This window comes from Homo sapiens, chromosome 15, assembly GCF_000001405.40.
Source record: "Homo sapiens chromosome 15, GRCh38.p14 Primary Assembly".
Lineage (NCBI taxonomy): Eukaryota > Metazoa > Chordata > Mammalia > Primates > Hominidae > Homo > Homo sapiens.
Genome location: NC_000015.10, coordinates 58,425,120 through 58,440,945, shown reverse-complemented (window position 1 = coordinate 58,440,945; position 15,826 = coordinate 58,425,120). Strand labels below are relative to the sequence as shown.

Sequence of the window (15,826 nt, the reverse complement as noted above, 5' to 3'; positions counted from 1 at the left end):
TGTCCTTCCCTCTGGCCACTTCTTTTTATGTACCCCATCCAGGGCCACCCCAAAATCTCAAGAATTCCCAACTTCACTCTCCCTTTTCCAGCCTCTGAGTCAAGCAAGGCTGGTTCATGTTTTTTTTCCCTCTGCTTACAATGTCCTTCCACTTCTTGAAGGAAACTTCAAGATTCAACTCAGATATCACCTCCTCTGTAAAGGCTTCTCAGCTAACCTGCGCTGCCTCAGGGCTCTTGTAACATTTTGCATGTAGTGTTATTTACAAACTAATTGCATTGTGTTGAAATTATGCGCCTCTCCCAATCTCCAACCTCCCTGCCCCCACACACACCCCATAAGGGGCTAGAGACCCTGGCACAGTGGGAAGTCCTTGGTGAGTGGATGTACGCTTTTTCATTTTTGTACCCTCAGGGATATACTTTCCTACTGACCATGGGGCCTGGTACACAGCGGACAGTTTAATAAATGCTGTCACAGCTGCTGTTGATCTTGTTATGTTTCAGTATAAAGCAGTTTGTTTTCTTACCACTTTAGTTTCTCTTGGGACAAGGAAGCTGGAACATTTGTCACTGGAAAGTTTTTGGCAGTCACGGAAAGGTCAGTCCTAGTCAACGGATAACCCATAGGCTCTGCCCTGCTTTGATAATGCCTCACTCATAGGAAAAGAATTTTCCTGATCATATTTTCAGGCCTGCCAAGGAGCCGCTCAGGGTGGATGGTTAATTAGCTTTTGCAATGATTATTTTTCTACCAATTACAAGTAATGCTCAGCTTGGGAATTTTTGTTCATTTCAAGGACTGCTTTCTTTTTAGCATGTAGATATTTTATTTTGGACAAATACATTTTCACAAATATCTTGGGGTTTTAAATACTTTTGGGGTTGTAGCTACTGGGGAAGAAGTCAGTATCCAGGAGCAGTGGATGTTGATTCTCACCCCTTCAACCCTAGAAAGTTAGAAGTGAAGTGAGGTTTGCCCTGTAGCCTCGTGTTGTTTCTGTAGGAAGCACCCTAGCCTGGAAGTCAGTAACCTAGTTTCAAGTCTTGGTTCTTTTGTTTTTTCTCTAGTGGTTCTCTGTGGTCCCCACACCAGCAGCATCATTTGGGAACTGCTGAGAAACGTAAATATCCAAGTCTACCCCAGGCTCACTGAATCAGCAACTCTGTAGTTAGGGCCCCAGAATCTTATTTTAATAAGCCCTGGCCGGGGGCGGTGGCTCACGCCTGTAATCCCAGCACTTTGGGAGGCTGAGGCGGGCAGATCACGAAGTCAAGAGTTCGAGACCAGCCTGGCCAACATGGTGAAACCCCATCTCTACTAAAAGTACAAAAAATAGCTGGGCGTGGTGTTGTGTGTCTGTAATCGCGGCTACTCAGGAGGCTGAGGCAGGAGAACTGCTTGAACCCGGGAGGCAGAGGTTGCTGCGAGCCAAGACTGTGCCACTGCACTCCAGCCTGGGCGACAGAGCAAGACTCCGTCTCAGGAAAAACAAACAAACAAAAAAAGCAGCCTTTTAGGTGCTTCATTACCCACTACAGTTCCAGGATCACTGATCTAGTCAAACTCCTTTATTTTATCATTTCGTAGTAAATTTATTTTCTGATTATTTAAATCATGAAAGTCAATATACCATATACATACTATAACATTACATAAAGAGGGGAAGAGACAAAAGTTCAGATACAAACTCAACGGACGTATAAACATTTTCATGCATCTTCTTCCAGCATTTTTTCTCAAACACATGTATTTTCACACAGTTGTAATCACAGGACACACACAATGAGGCCTGCTCTTCATGTTGGGACATAAACACTACTCAGCGTCGCCACCTACACATCTTCCTGAGAACTATTTTTAAGGGCCACTGCCAGTCCACTGGAGAGCCGTGCCAGAACTGACTTCACCAGGCCCTGAATATGAACCTGCACAAGTGGAGGTGAAAACGCTGTAGACAAAGAGGCCTCCGCTTGCATTCCATGCATTTCCTTCTCTTCTCTTCACTTTTTCCCCATGCCTCCCCACCCCTAGCCAAGCCCCACTGGGGAAAAAATGAAATGAGGAATGCTTCTGGAAATAGACCCCTAAGTGGGAAGGAAAGGGAAGTTAGCCAACAGCCTCATCTTCCAGTCACCCAGAAACTCCATTCTCCTGAGCCAGAAACCCTCTCCTGGAACTCCGAAGCAGCTGAGATGTCACTGCGCTACTTTGTGACCATGTTTAGGAATTGCACCTTCTGTGGGGCAGCCGGGTGGGCGCCCTGACTCCTCCAGGGCTGGAGTGACTGGATTTGGTCTTCTCGCCCCAAGTAGGTACCTGAATGTAAGACCCGACTGCCTTTCTTACCGCGGCTCCTCCACCCGCTGCTGGACAGACTAGGCTCGGCCCCCTTGTTCTAGTTATCACCTTGGGACTGAAGTCCAGCCTGCTGGGCAGGGATCTGGAGGGTCCTATTGGCCCCTAGTCAGCCCTTTTCCCTGGTGGGTTGGACCCCATTTCCCAGCTGAGAGCGCCCCACTCGAAACTGGTCACTGTCCTGGGGGCCAGCGCACAGTACCTTCCTGGCTGTGAGAATCGCTGTGACCTCTGTTCTACGTGGAGCCCGTGGCTGTCAGGGACACCCAGGCTGAGGCCTGGGTGGTTGCATTCCCCTCATGATGAAATGGGGACTGTTCTGCCCTGTCTCGGGGCCCAGCCTCTTTCTGCCTCTCTCCCTGCTGTGCCAACTGTGATGACCCAGCATGCCCGCAGCACTGTGGCAGCTGATGTGGAGAGGAGGGCAGGGAGAGGGCCATCGTGGGTAGCCAGGTACCAGATTCTCTTGGCTTTTGGCTGCGCACTCATTTGGCGATTCATGTTTTCGGGTCAGCTTACAGACCCCATGCCTTCAACCGTCAGCCCTGCAGTTTCTCTCTCCAGCTCAGAATGAAAGAATATGGGTTCCAGTCCTGGGTCTCTGTGAGAGGCAAGCAGAGTGGAGGACAGGCTGCTGTCCCCCGTCTCTCCAGGGTGGACCTTTCAGCAGGACCACAGACCTGCTCAGCTGTAGGGCTAGGAAGGATGGCCATGGATGGGAGGGTCTCTTGCATGGGAAAGATAGAATTTCCCTGGAATGCTGGGGGCTGGCCCTCTGCTGATTCCAGAATAGTACGCACTCTTGGAAGAATGAGTTTCATCTCCGGACTCTATCTCAAATATTAGTCATGGGTGACATTCCATGTAACTGTGGAGGCCTCTCAGAAATCTGACAGACCCTGCTGGGGTAGTGATTTTGAGTGTGGCTGAACCTGCAAAGTTGGGTGCTGGTGGCAGGTCGGAAGGACAGTGGAAAATCCCTTTCCCGGGGGTCGTCTTGGGATGACCAATCTAACTGTAGCTGATCAGGGCCTTTTTATTTTATTTTTCTTGTACATTTAAGTACTTAAATCCTCCAAACCTTAAAACCCTTTATATATCTTTAAATATACTTAGAATCTCTAGCAATATACAGCATGTGTCTACAGTGTTTTCATAATTATGATTCAACATGTAGATTATTTAGTCCTGTTTTTTTTTCCCTACATTATTGCATATACAATTTTCTTATACTTGTTTTACAAAGCTGCAAGACCAGTTGTTACTGAGCTTTTTCAGAGGTCACAGGTCCCTTTGATAATTTGCTGAAAGTTATGACACCTGCTCCCCACTCAAAATGCACACACACACAGCCTTGGGCACCATCTCAGGAGGCTCAACGACTCTTGGAAACCCATCCTCTGTGCTAAGATCCCTGGTGTTAAACTGTGAGTGCTTAGGGGCCAGCAATAGGCTTTTGTTTCTGAACTTCATCATTATTGCCCCCAAAAGTTTCTGTGACTTCTAGTAGTAGGTATTCAAAACCATGCCTGTTCGAAGTTGGACTTAGCAGTAGCTGGAGTCCCCAACTTCAGTGGTTTGCACTTGGGCATTCACATTGTTTCCAGTTTGTTGCAGTTTAACAAGTGTTGCTATCAACACCGTTCTATGGGATATTTTTTCTTTTTCTTCCTAGATGGTCTTTTTTGAAAGGTATTTGGGCTTGAAAAGCACATGTACTTTATCAGCTGTGTACCTCTGCTATTGTACAAGGAAAGCCTCATTCTCTTCTGTCCGGATACCATCCTTCAACACCCTACTCAAATGCCGCCTCCTCCAAGAAGCCTTCTTCCCTCCACTTGGAAGTAAAATCTGCTTCTCTACTCATTCCTCTCTCATGGTCCTCATCTCATGCCATGTTCTGTTCTAGCTGATAACATTTACATATGTGACTCAGTGGTATACCTCATGTATTTGACACACAGAACGGATCATTTTAATGACCCTCTGCTCTATAAGACAAAAGTATTTTCAGTCATATTTATGTAAAAATCAGCAATCATCACTACTTTCTCGATTTCTTCTTTAGTTATAAAGCAGTGAACAATTTTTAAAAAGACAAATACATTTTAACTTTAAGATATTCAAATGCAGTAAAAATATTTTTCGTATGAGTCCAAATTTTTACCTATCAAACAAGATGTTACAACTCATTGTTCACAATCTGTTTTGTTGCTTTAAATTTTAAACACATATGAGAAGCTTACAGGGGTCACCTAGGATGAGAGAATTGAAATAATTCAAGTTCTGGTTTTTTGTTTGTACAACCACTACGCTATCATTTTTTGTTTCAAATCTACTGTTTACATGCAGAAGCAGGTAATAAGTGCCACTGAGGTTGGAGACATAAGGACGTCAAAGGATCTGAACCATCGCACACTTACTCTTGCAACAAGAACACGCCCCTGAGTCTGTGCATGTTGGGGCCAAGTGCATAACCGGGAGTTCTCCAGATTAATGTCAATGTAGAACACAATATTTATGAAAGGATAAATAATAAAGATGTGATGAATTTGAAGCTTACATATACTTACTACATAAAATCCAACAGTAACCACGGAGATTGTTTAGAACTTAGGCCATAAAACCATTTTTTTCTGGAAAGAGCTTTGCCTTTATCGCTGATACTCTTTCTTTTGGGATGGAGTTTCACTTTGTTGCCCAGGATGGAGTGCGACGGCGCCATCTCGGCTCATTGCAACCTCTGCCTCCCGGGTTCAAGCAATTCTCCTGCCTCAGCGTACCAAGTAGCTGGGATTACAGGTGCCCATGACCAAGCCTGGCTAATGTTTTGTATTTTTAGTAGAGATGGCATTTTACCATGTTGGCCAGGCTGGTTTTGAACTCCTAACCTCAGGTGATCCACCCACCTCGGCCTCCCAAAGTGCTGGGATTACAGGCGTGAGCCACGGCGCCCGGCTGACATTCTTTATAATTGTGATAATGACAGGCAGATCAGCTTTTGGTTATATTTGTATTTAAATTCTCCACAGACGGTTGCTCTTTTATTGATGGCACATCCCCCCTCCACCCAGTCCCATGGCCCCCTATTCCCTCCCCACCCCACTCCCACCCCATTTGACTGTAAATTCCTGCAAGGTGGGGACGGCTGTGCAGCCCCCTGTTGTACAGTGCCCACTGCACAAGCGCAGTGGTTTGCAGGCCAAGGCCCCAGGGAGATCGCCTTAGGATGTCCTCCCTTTTCCTCTATGGGAGGCCAGATTTTCTTCCTACATTTCAAACAAAGCAATACATCACAACAGACTGAGTACAGAAACAGGTAAGATAATCCAGCTGTCTTGGGAAGCCAGATATTAGAGAGATTTGCAACATTTCTTTGTAAAACAATGTCACTCTTCTCCATTTAAAACTTATTTGGAAAATACAAGTTATTTTTCATAAAATTACATTATATGTGTTAATATGCAAGGGTTTATTATCATTTTAAAAAGTGTTAGCAGATTTTAAAGATTTCTCAGTTTTAATTTCTAATGAAGGAAATATTGATATCTCACATAATAAACACTGTTTGGGGTCCTCAGTGATTTTTAAGAGAGGAAACGTGTGAACAGAGTGTGTGAGTTGTACTCAGGCACTGCGTTACGTATGGCAGGTGCTCATGTATGCTTGTGACACTCATGAGGGACTGACTGAATAGGTAGCTTTCAGCTGCTCCTAGGATTTGCAAGCTGAGGCTGGGGTGGAGGGGAGGGAGAAGGTGCCTGTTGATAGTGGGCCCAGTACCGGGAAGGTGGGACTTGCCAGGGTCTAGGAGCAGCGTTGGCTCTCATGGCAACACCGACTGGGGAACCTGGGTCTCAGGCATTGGGGCTGGGCATAAGTGTGATGTGCCATGTGGGCTTCAAGCAGCTCACGCTATCCAGTCCCCCTTAGTGCTGAAGGGCAGGAACAACTGTCTAAATCTCCCTCTCTGTGAGAGGAACTGAGCAGAATGTTTTTCTAGAAACCTCTGGCTGTCAAATCACTGGGTGTGGGCTCGACACAGAGCACTGCGGCCTCAGTAGACAGATTGAGGCTGCAGGTACCTCTCCCTGCTCTGCCCTGACCAGCTATGCGACCGCCGGCAAGGCACTTAACTGCCAGCTTACTCAACCATATGGTGAGGATGAGATAAAATGTCCGTGGAGTGCCTGGCACATGCTGGGTGTGCAGCACATTAGTGACTCCATTAGTAAGATGTCATTAATAATAAATACTCAAAAGAAGTAGGCTGGGAGGAGGGGCTAAAGAGGAAGGGTCCTTGAGGGAGTACTTCCTGGTGCTCGATGAGTGACAGTTGAAGCTTGGCATAGATCATGGTTTCTCAGCCTCTGCACTAATAATGTTTTGGGCCAGACAATTCATTGTTGTGAGGGCTGTCCTGTGCATTGTAGGATGTGAAGCAGCTTCCCTGGCCTCTACCCACTAGATGCTGGAAGGGAAGCACTCTCTCCCTGGTCTTAACAACCAAAAACCAAAAATGTCTCCAGACATTGCCAAGTGTCCCCTGGAGGGCAAAATTGCCCCTGTTGAGAACCATTGGTGTAGAAACTTTCCTGACAAGGGCTCCACCACAGGACACCGGCTTCCCTGCGGTTTCCCCAGAAAGACATCATACCAGCCACATGCACACAGATTGGGCTCACTCATTGCAGAAAGAATTCTGCCAAGAGATTCTGCTTCCAAGAGAACAAGAGGCCTCCTGACTTGGATCCTCTTTTCTGAGGAACCCTCTTGCTAATAGTGGCCACTTCTCTCAGCATTTGCACAAACTAGGCCCCGGGGAAAGAAGCAGGCTGATCAGGACAATGAGATTGCTCAAGGAAAATCTGGACAATACCCAGAAGCCTGGGGGAGGCCATCCCTCCCTTCAACCTCTATCTCAGCACTGACAGCTTCCAATTCCCATGGCTCCATTGCAAAAACAGTCCTGGCCAATCCACAGTAGAATGGATAAAGGAAGTGTGGCATGGTCCCGCAGTGGAATGCTACAGCAGTGAGAATGAATGAGCCTCAACTCCACGAAACTGCATGGTTGACTTTCACAAACATAATGTCGAACGAAAGAAGCCAGACGCAAAAGAGCAACTGATGTGTTTCTATTAATGAAAAATCTCCCCAAAGGAAAAAATCATATATGTTAAGGCTCAAGGGGCACACAAGGAAGGCTTTGGGGTACTGGTTCAGTTTGTGAGAACTCATTGAGGATTTATGATAGAGGCCCTTTTCTAGAAGTGTGTTATAAACTTCATTAAAAAGTAAACAAACAAATACAACATTCCGGGGCAAAGGGCAGGAAAGGCCCTTTAGCAAAATCACTATGAACCAAGGGAATAAAGATTACCAGCAATTTTACCTGTATGGCTCTAAATTATTATGTAAGGGTCATTTTTGGATGTGGCTTTATAAATGAGATGATGTGTCAAAAATAATTAGTATAGTGCTTGGCACAGAAAATACTTAGTGAATGGCAATAATTAATACTGCTACTCAGTTATTAACTGGCCTATGAAGTAAAATAGTCAAATACAAAGGAACAGCCTTTTTCTTAAAGGGGAAAAAAGCTTCTGAAATTTTTAGGTACATCCCGTTAGGGAATTTCTAATTCTCAAAGTTGTCGGAGCTCTCTCCAAGGCTAGTCTTAGAGAAAAGAAAAATCTCAGACTCTACCTTAGCGTTACTAGCTCCTGACCAGTAACCAGTACCAAAACAAATTCCCAAACACCTGTCTAGTCTGGCCAAATTGTTCAATTAACTGATCCGTCATTTATTGGTCCACTGCTTAGCCTGGAAGCTGGGCTCCACTCTACTACCTTCCTGATAAGGCATTTGATCTGTCTTTCGCCATCAATCTAGTTTGTGAATTTACAAACAAAACAGGCAGGACGGCTGTTGGATTCTTCAGCCTCAGACTAAAATTTTGGCAGCAAAACAAAGTCTAGAAATTGTGCAATGATATCTCTACTTTAGACCTGACTGGAAATAGAACTCTCATAAATTCCCCTCTCTTCTGAGAGAGGCAGGCAATTAGACAACCCCAACCCGACAGAGCATTTCATTGCAAGCCTGGCTCCCCGGTTGCAAATTAGATGCCACATTAACTCTCAGGAAGATCTGAATCGCTTTCATATCATTTGCCGCTGAATAACTTTTAGCATGACTGTTTCCATATCAGATACGCAAGAGACTTCACTGCTAGCTGCAGGCACTCTTAGAAGACTTTTAATCCGAGGATGATTTTCTAAAATTTCATTTCTGTTTACAAACGGCTACGTGTCCCTGTGAACCTGTGAGGTCGTGTATAGAACCACCTGGCACGCTCTGAAGCAAGCTCTGTCCCATACAGTCAGAAACCCCTGGATTCTTTGTGACACACGTTTTAAAAAGAAAAGTTCATGCCCATCTCTGGAGAAAAGTCAGGCTCTTACCTGGTTTCAGGCTTTGTCCAAGGGCACTTGATTGGATAAAGATGCATAAAACCAACAGAATGGAGAAACACAGGGGACTTGTGTCCATTTCTCCGTTTCACCCGGGGTCCAGGCTTTCTTGGTAATTTCTGAAGCCAAAGAGACCACAATGCCTATTAGATACTTTGTTAGGGAAGACTGCCCATTAATAATTAACCTCTCAACATGTTATCCACTGTTCAGACCCTTTCTTTACTGCCCCCAACTGCAAATCTAATTATATCTATTTTAAAAAGGTCGATTTACAGAAGTGCTTCTTATCCTGACACATTTTGAGAATAAAATACCTTGTTATGTATTCTTACCTTTTGGGGCCAAGGTCAGAGTTCCAAATTAATCAACTTAAAGCTACTGTGTTGTGTTTGGAAATTCTGCCAAAGGTCGGGGTAGGTGGCTTCCACGTGGCTGCCTAAGCCTCCCTGTGACAGCGCTGCAAGGGGGATGCTGGCTCAGGAAAGTGGTGTTTCAAATTGCAGCCTAAGCCCAAAGAAAAAGAAAAGGGCCCTGCCACGCAGAGAGCCCCCAGAGGGTCCAAATTTCTGTTGGGTTCAGTGAAATTGGTGATGCTTGTGGTCAAAGTGTGGTGCAGAAAACCCTTCACCCCCGTGTCAAAAGGAGCTGACGAAGAAGCAAAGATGCCCTTGCCAAGTGACCCATTGAGAGGTGATCCTAGAGTAAACACACTTCTTCCCCCTCTGTGTTCATTAATGTTCCAGCTGTGTAGAGGACTGAAAAGTAAGGCCACTCAGCAAAATCAGGTAGGGAAAAGGCGACCATAGATGGCTTTTGTGATATTTTTGGACCTCTAGTTTTACTTTAACTTTCTTCATTTGTTCAACATTTATATATTTTGGTATGCCTACTAGGTGCCAAGCACTGTTGCAGGCACGTGGGGTATACAAGTCCTTATGTATCAGTGGAGGTTCTTACCTTCTGGAGTTGGATAACGGACAGTAGACATAATAAAGAAGAGATTTCTGGCCAGGAGCGGTGGCTCACTCCTGTAATCACAGCACTTTGGGAGGCGAGGAGGGCGGATCACGAGGTCAGGAGTTCGAGACCAGCCTGACCAACATGGTGAAACCCCATCTGTACTAAAAATACAAAAGTTAGCTGGGCGTGGAGGTGAGTGCCTGTAATCCCAGCTACTCAGGAAGCTGAGGCAGGAGAATCGCTTGAACCTGGGAGGCGGAGGTTGCAGTGAACTGAGATCGCGCCATTGTACTCCAGCCTGGGCGACACAGAGAGACTCCGTCTCAAAAAAAAAAAAAAAAAAATTAGGTAGACTGGTAGAATGTAATGGGAACCACTACAAGAAAAGCAGGGGGTTGGGGAGAAGGTAGGGATTTTAAGCAGAGTGGTTAGAGTGAATTGCATTGGGAAGTTAAACTTTCAGCAAAGGTTTGAAGGAAGTGAAGGAGTTGCCCCTGTGGACGTCTTGGGGAGGAGAGCTTCGGGCAGTCTGTGCAAAGGCCCTGAGGTAGGAGTATGCCTGGTGTGCTCCAGGAATAGCAAGGAGGCCAATGAATGGGGAGACATTGTAAGGACTTTGACTTTTATGCATTGACACATGGGGGGCGACTCTGAGCAGAAGGGTGATATGATTTGTATTATAGTTTTAAAATATCACTCTGGTTTGCAAGTGAGCCAGGGTGCAGTGGGGAGATCTGTTAGAAGGCTATTACAGTGGCCCAGTGAGAGGTGATGGTGGCGTGGCCCAGCATGGTAAAGGGCAACTGCGGAGTGGTGGATGGGTGGTGGATATATTTTGAAGGTAGAGCCCACAGGATTTTCTGACTGCTGAGTTGTGAGATGTGGGAGAAAGAGAGGAGTTAAGGATGACTTCCAGGTTTTTTGGCTTGAACAAGCAGATTAATGGGGTTGCTGTCAGCTGAGAAGGGGAAGCTGTGAGTGAAGCAGGTCTGTTGGGGGAAGATTAGAGATTCAGCCTTGGCCACGTGGGGCTTTGAGATGGCTCTTAGACATCCAAGTGGAAACGTTAAGCGGGCAAAATTAGATAACATGGTAATTATTGCCTGGACGAGCCTCATTCAAAGGGCCTTCTGAAGCCACCACCAGACTTGGACGATCTTGACCCAGTCTAAAGCTGTGTTCTGTCCTATGACTGTACCTTCCTCCCAAGCCCCGAAGCTTGCGGACCATCCCGTCAGATATACAATTTCTTTTTCTTTTTCTTTTTTTTTTTTGAGATGGAATCTTGCTCTGTCGCCCAGGCTGGAGTGCAGTGGCGCGATCTCGGTTCACTGCAACTTCCACCTCCCAGGTTCAAGCGATTCTAGTGCTTCAGCCTTCAGAGTAGGTGGGACTACAGGTGCCCACCACCATGCCTGGCTAATTTTTGTATTTTTAGTAGAGACGGGGTTTTACCATGTTGGTCAGGCTGGTCTCTAACTCCTGACCTTGTGATCCACCCACCTCGGCCTCCCAAAGTGCTGGGATTACAGGCGTGAGTCACCGTGCCCATCAGATATACAATTTCTGAGCAAGGACTTCTGCCTTGGATACTTGGCTGGCTCCTGCACAGTTAAGCAGAATCTGAAAGTTCCACTTTTTTTCCTATAAAGCTGGCACGTAAGACCAGCTGGCTACCCATCTCGGGCTCCTCTCCCCTGTGCCCACCCTCATCTCCTCTCCTCTGGGTACTGCCAGTAACCACCGCCACTCCCCATTTTATTCGGGACACAAACTCATCAAAAGACACCAGTGAATCCAAGTGCCTCTGAAATACCAACCGTGTGCCCCCACCCGCCCCCCAAATTTCTGCAGAGTACACTTTCTTACCACTTTCTACGTGGTAAGAACACTTTCAACATGGGAAGAAGCCTTCAAGATTGTTTCTAGCTCTTGTAGTTCCTTTACTTGCACCACCCCAAATTCCTCTAACATCATCTCATGCCAACTCAAATTCTATAAGGCTCTCCTGGAAAATGACAAGGAGGAGTGGGTACCTGTCCCCTTTCAGGGTGTTGTCTGCTTTCACCTCTACCTAAGCTCTTCCAGCCTGCCCCATCACCGGGTCTGACCTTCCAGTGGTGGTTTTAATGCACAAGCTCTGTTGTGTTTTCTTGAAGCTGACCAGGGAGGCTACTGGCAGGGAAGAGGGGAGGACTTCACAGAGTATGAGATTTCCTGAACTGGGGGGGTCCTAGGCCTATCTACTTGCTGTATATAATATTATATAACCTTAATGAGTTCAATCTCCTCACCTATAAAATGGGGACAACATGTATCTGAGATAATATTTTGAGATATCAACTTATTTTTCTCCCAAACTGTCTCCCTTCCACTTAAGAGGGGCAAAGTAGAGAGAAGGCTACAAATCTTTTGTCTTCCAAAAATATAGGACCTTAGGGCAAGTGAATTTTATTTTATTTTATATTATTTTATTTTATTTATTTTAGAGACAGGGTCTTCCTATGTTGCCCAGGCTGGCCATAAACTCCTGGGCTCAAGTGATCCTCCTGCCTTGGCCTCCCAAAGTGTGGGCAGGTGAATTCTAGCCAACAAAGAAAAGCAAAAGACTAACATTTCTTGAGGGGATGTGAAGGGAGAAGGAACCCCTCACCTTGCCATCACTAGAAAGACATTCTCTTGGGCTTTGCAGGTGGTGTGGAAGGGGGAGGTTTGTCTATGGGTCTGAGAGCAGAGGGGACAGTACCTTGCTTCCCAGAAATCCTGCTGGAAGAGAAGAACCCAGGGAGGAAATGGCTGTGTTGGCACATGGGCAAAAGATATACCTGGCTTGATGTAGGGTGGGAGAGCAGTGAGTCTCTGGGGCCAGCAGGTCATGTTGATGGGAGGATGGGCCCCTCAGTGGCCACCAATGTGGACTGATGACAGAGGACTAGGTCACACTCCCCTGACCCCATGCCTGGCTATTGTATTTGTCCAGAACTATGGCATAACTACTGGGGTTGGGGGTGGGGTGGGGAGAAGAAATCCAGAAGGCCTGAAAATAGGGGTTAAGAGTCAGGAATTTAGATGGGTTACAGAGAATAGAGAAATTTATTGCACATCAGAATCTCTGGACTGAAATTAATACCTCTAGGAAAAGAGGTATGCCATGAATATTAGAGATTTGTGTGTAAGGTGTCAAGCCAAGTGCCTGGTTCATAGTAGAGGGTCAATAAATTATAATGACCTATTTTGTGGGCAATATACTTAGTGGTCAAGGGTCCATGCTTTGAGGCTGGGTGCAGTGGGCAGTGGCTCACACTTGTAATCCCAGTGCTTTGGGAGGCTGAGGCAGGAGGATCACTTGAGGCCAGGAGTTTGCGACTAGCTTGGGTAACATAGCAAGACCCCATCTATATAAACATAAAAACCAAAAAATTAGCCTGGTATGGTGGCACACACCTGTAGTCCTAGGTACTTGGGAGGCTGAGGCAGGGATATTACTTGAACCCAGGAGGTGGAGGCTGCAGTGAGCTATGATCACACCACTGCACTCCAGCCTGGGTGACAGAGTGAGACCCTATCTCTAAAAGAAAAAAAAAAAAAGAGTCCAGCCTTGGGAATCCGACAGATACAGGCTTGAATTCCTAGTCTGTCACTTGTGCTTACTAGCTGAGTGAACTTGGATAAGACATTGTGACTGAGCTTTAGTTTTCTTCACCTGTATAATGGGACTAATAATACCTCCCTAGTCTGATTAAGTGAGGCAATGCATGTGAAGCCCTCAGCAATCCTAGGCCACAGGAAATAATTAATGGTAGCTAATTTTTTTTAATGTTTAAATTCACTGAGGGGATCACGAAGGTGTCCAGGAGGTAGATAACAATAAGACCACAGTGATATAATTGTAGCAAAAAATGTAAGGGGCAGGAAAACACAAGGGTCTGGATCAGTGGCTGCAAAATCCAATTGAGCATGAGAATAAGAGTCAGCTGGGGAGCTCAGACAATGACAACTTATGGGCCCATCCCAGGAATACTGAGTAATGGAATCAACACTAGGGTCAAGGCCCAGTGAACCTTCATTTTAAGCAAGATCTCCAAGTAATTCTTGGTTACACAAAGTTTGAGAACCATTGCCTCAGAATGGTGCTTGAGAGATCTTCTGGGGCAAAAGAAGAAAATAATATAGACCTTTCAGATTTTTCTTTGTATTTCCTTAGACAGTTCATGTTTGTGCACGTATAATGTTTATAGCATATAAGTACTATATAATTTGCAGGTGGTACTACGGAATATACTAGTGCTATATTATTTATAAACAAATAAATAGATATTGGGGATAAGATGTGTTGTCAAAAAATGGGTAAAGCCTCTGCCTTAGAGAGACAGAATGGCTCCCAGGGCTGCCAGACCTGACTGTCATGTGCTTGACTCCAGCCATGCATCTGAGCAGTCAATAGATCCATTCATAGCATCTTTGGTCATTTCCATGCCCAAGGAAGCCCAGCAGTTTCTTGAGGCCTCTTCATTTCCTATTAGCTAAAGAGGAGGCAAGCCTGAGCCTCTTAGAGTTTGGAGCCTCCAATGGAGTGATCAGCATGGTGCATGTTAGCAGAGCTCTGTGGCTTCATCCTTTGCAATTCTTTTATTTATTTATTTATTTTTTGGGGGGATGGAGTCTTGCTGTGTTGCCCAGGCTGGAGTGCAATGGCATGATCCCGGCTCACTGCAACATCTGCCTCCTGGGTTCAAGTGATTCTCATGCCTCAGCCTCCCTAGTAGCTGGGATTATAGGGTGTGCCACCACACTTGGCTTTTTTTTGCTTTTTTTTTTGTATTTTTAGTAGAGATGGGGTTTCACCATGTTGGCCAGGCTGGTCTAGAACTCCTGAGCTCAAGTGATCTGCCTGCCTCAGCCTCCCAAAATGCTGGGATCACAGGCATGAGCCACCATGCCTGGCCTCTTCCTTTGCAATTCTTTAAAGACGTTTCTATTTTGGGTGACATTGCACTCTGGTCTGCAGTCCTCTATCTAAAGTAATAATGGTTTTATAATTAGGTTTTTAAACATTGCCCAGTTCTTGCTCTGTCTTAATTTACAGAGCTTCTTGAATAAATAAAGATTTCAAGAGAGTGGCATTTGATGACCTGAGAATGACCTTTTTCTTTAGTGTCATGGTGATAAGAAAGTTAATTAGGAGAGAAGAAACAGATATTTTACAAGGATAAAGCAAGCAAATCCCAAGAGGAAGAGGCCAGGGGACCAAGTTGAAGTTCACTGATGACAGAAACAGAATTTTATACCCAGAATCAGGTTTTCTTCTTTTCATCTTCAGGAACTGGGATATCTTACCTGAGAAAGGCAAGCTTTTGTTGGTGTTATAATAAAATAATACTTTAAACAATAAAATTTGACACTGTTATTTCCTAATTTTGCAGTTGAGATTTAAGAGGTTGGGAACTGGTACCAAACTGTATCTCACCAGTAAAAGACAGAGAGAGGAGAAGTCAGGGGATCTGAGGCCAAGTTCTGTTCTCTTAACAACCACAAATCCTTAATCCCTATGTATCTGGCTTTCCCTGGGACTGAATCAGGTTTCTCTGCACATCAGCCTAGTCCACTTCCAAGATGAAATGAATTTCCTTGGATCATGTTATAGGAAAATGACTCTATCCTCTTATACTCCTGCTTGGGGCCAGGGTGCCATGAGGAGAATGACCAAGTTTTTATTGGGTCACTCACTGATCTGTGTGGACATTCTTGCGCCATGAGGGAATATGGCAAAACAAGTAGGTAAACCTCGTTAATTTGAGTTAGCCTGGAACGTCCTCATTTGGAAAGTGGTTGGACTGGAGTTTAACCTTTTCCTTATCTGTGTTAGAAAAAAAAAAAGACCTGATAAACAAAGGAAGGGTGAAAACAAGATTGCAGAGGACATTTTAGACTATTTGGAAGAATTAGGTGTTTCAAGCATTTCAAATAGGTATTTATTCATCCAAGATTATCACTCCTGGTGACCAGGGGTGTCTTTGCATCAGCTCTGT

At 45.3% G+C, this 15,826-nt stretch overlaps 1 protein-coding gene and 1 long non-coding RNA gene across 2 annotated transcripts in view, besides 3 other annotated features; one reads left to right on the top strand and one right to left on the bottom strand.

The window, feature by feature from the left end:
- LIPC-AS1 (LIPC antisense RNA 1) overlaps window positions 1-6,045 on the top strand; it is a 63,835-nt gene extending 57,790 nt beyond the window's left edge. The window contains exon 3 of the long non-coding RNA NR_120338.1: window positions 4,034-6,045. This is a non-coding gene — a long non-coding RNA (LIPC antisense RNA 1). The remainder of the gene's footprint in view (window positions 1-4,033) is intronic.
- Window positions 1-8,955, bottom strand: part of LIPC (lipase C, hepatic type) — a 137,854-nt gene extending 128,899 nt beyond the window's left edge. The window contains exon 1 of the mRNA NM_000236.3: window positions 8,826-8,955. Within this exon, the coding sequence (NP_000227.2) occupies window positions 8,826-8,913 (88 nt within the window). The 5' untranslated portion in view covers window positions 8,914-8,955. The remainder of the gene's footprint in view (window positions 1-8,825) is intronic.
- Window positions 1,691-1,931: a silencer, noted in NCBI's record as "fragment chr15:58731214-58731454 (GRCh37/hg19 assembly coordinates)". NCBI's record gives its function as "represses an EF-1alpha promoter that drives an FKBP-Casp9 reporter gene in an ReSE screen in phorbol 12-myristate 13-acetate-treated (for megakaryocytic differentiation) K562 erythroleukemia cells {active_cell/tissue: K562(+PMA)}" and the evidence as "EXISTENCE:reporter gene assay evidence [ECO:0000049][PMID:32094911]".
- Window positions 10,642-10,936: an enhancer, noted in NCBI's record as "tiled region #12189; K562 Activating DNase matched - State 5:Enh". NCBI's record gives its function as "activates a minimal TATA promoter and a strong SV40 promoter by Sharpr-MPRA in K562 cells {active_cell/tissue: K562}" and the evidence as "EXISTENCE:reporter gene assay evidence [ECO:0000049][PMID:27701403]".
- Window positions 10,642-10,936: a silencer, noted in NCBI's record as "tiled region #12189; HepG2 Repressive non-DNase unmatched - State 23:Low". NCBI's record gives its function as "represses a minimal TATA promoter and a strong SV40 promoter by Sharpr-MPRA in HepG2 cells {active_cell/tissue: HepG2}" and the evidence as "EXISTENCE:reporter gene assay evidence [ECO:0000049][PMID:27701403]".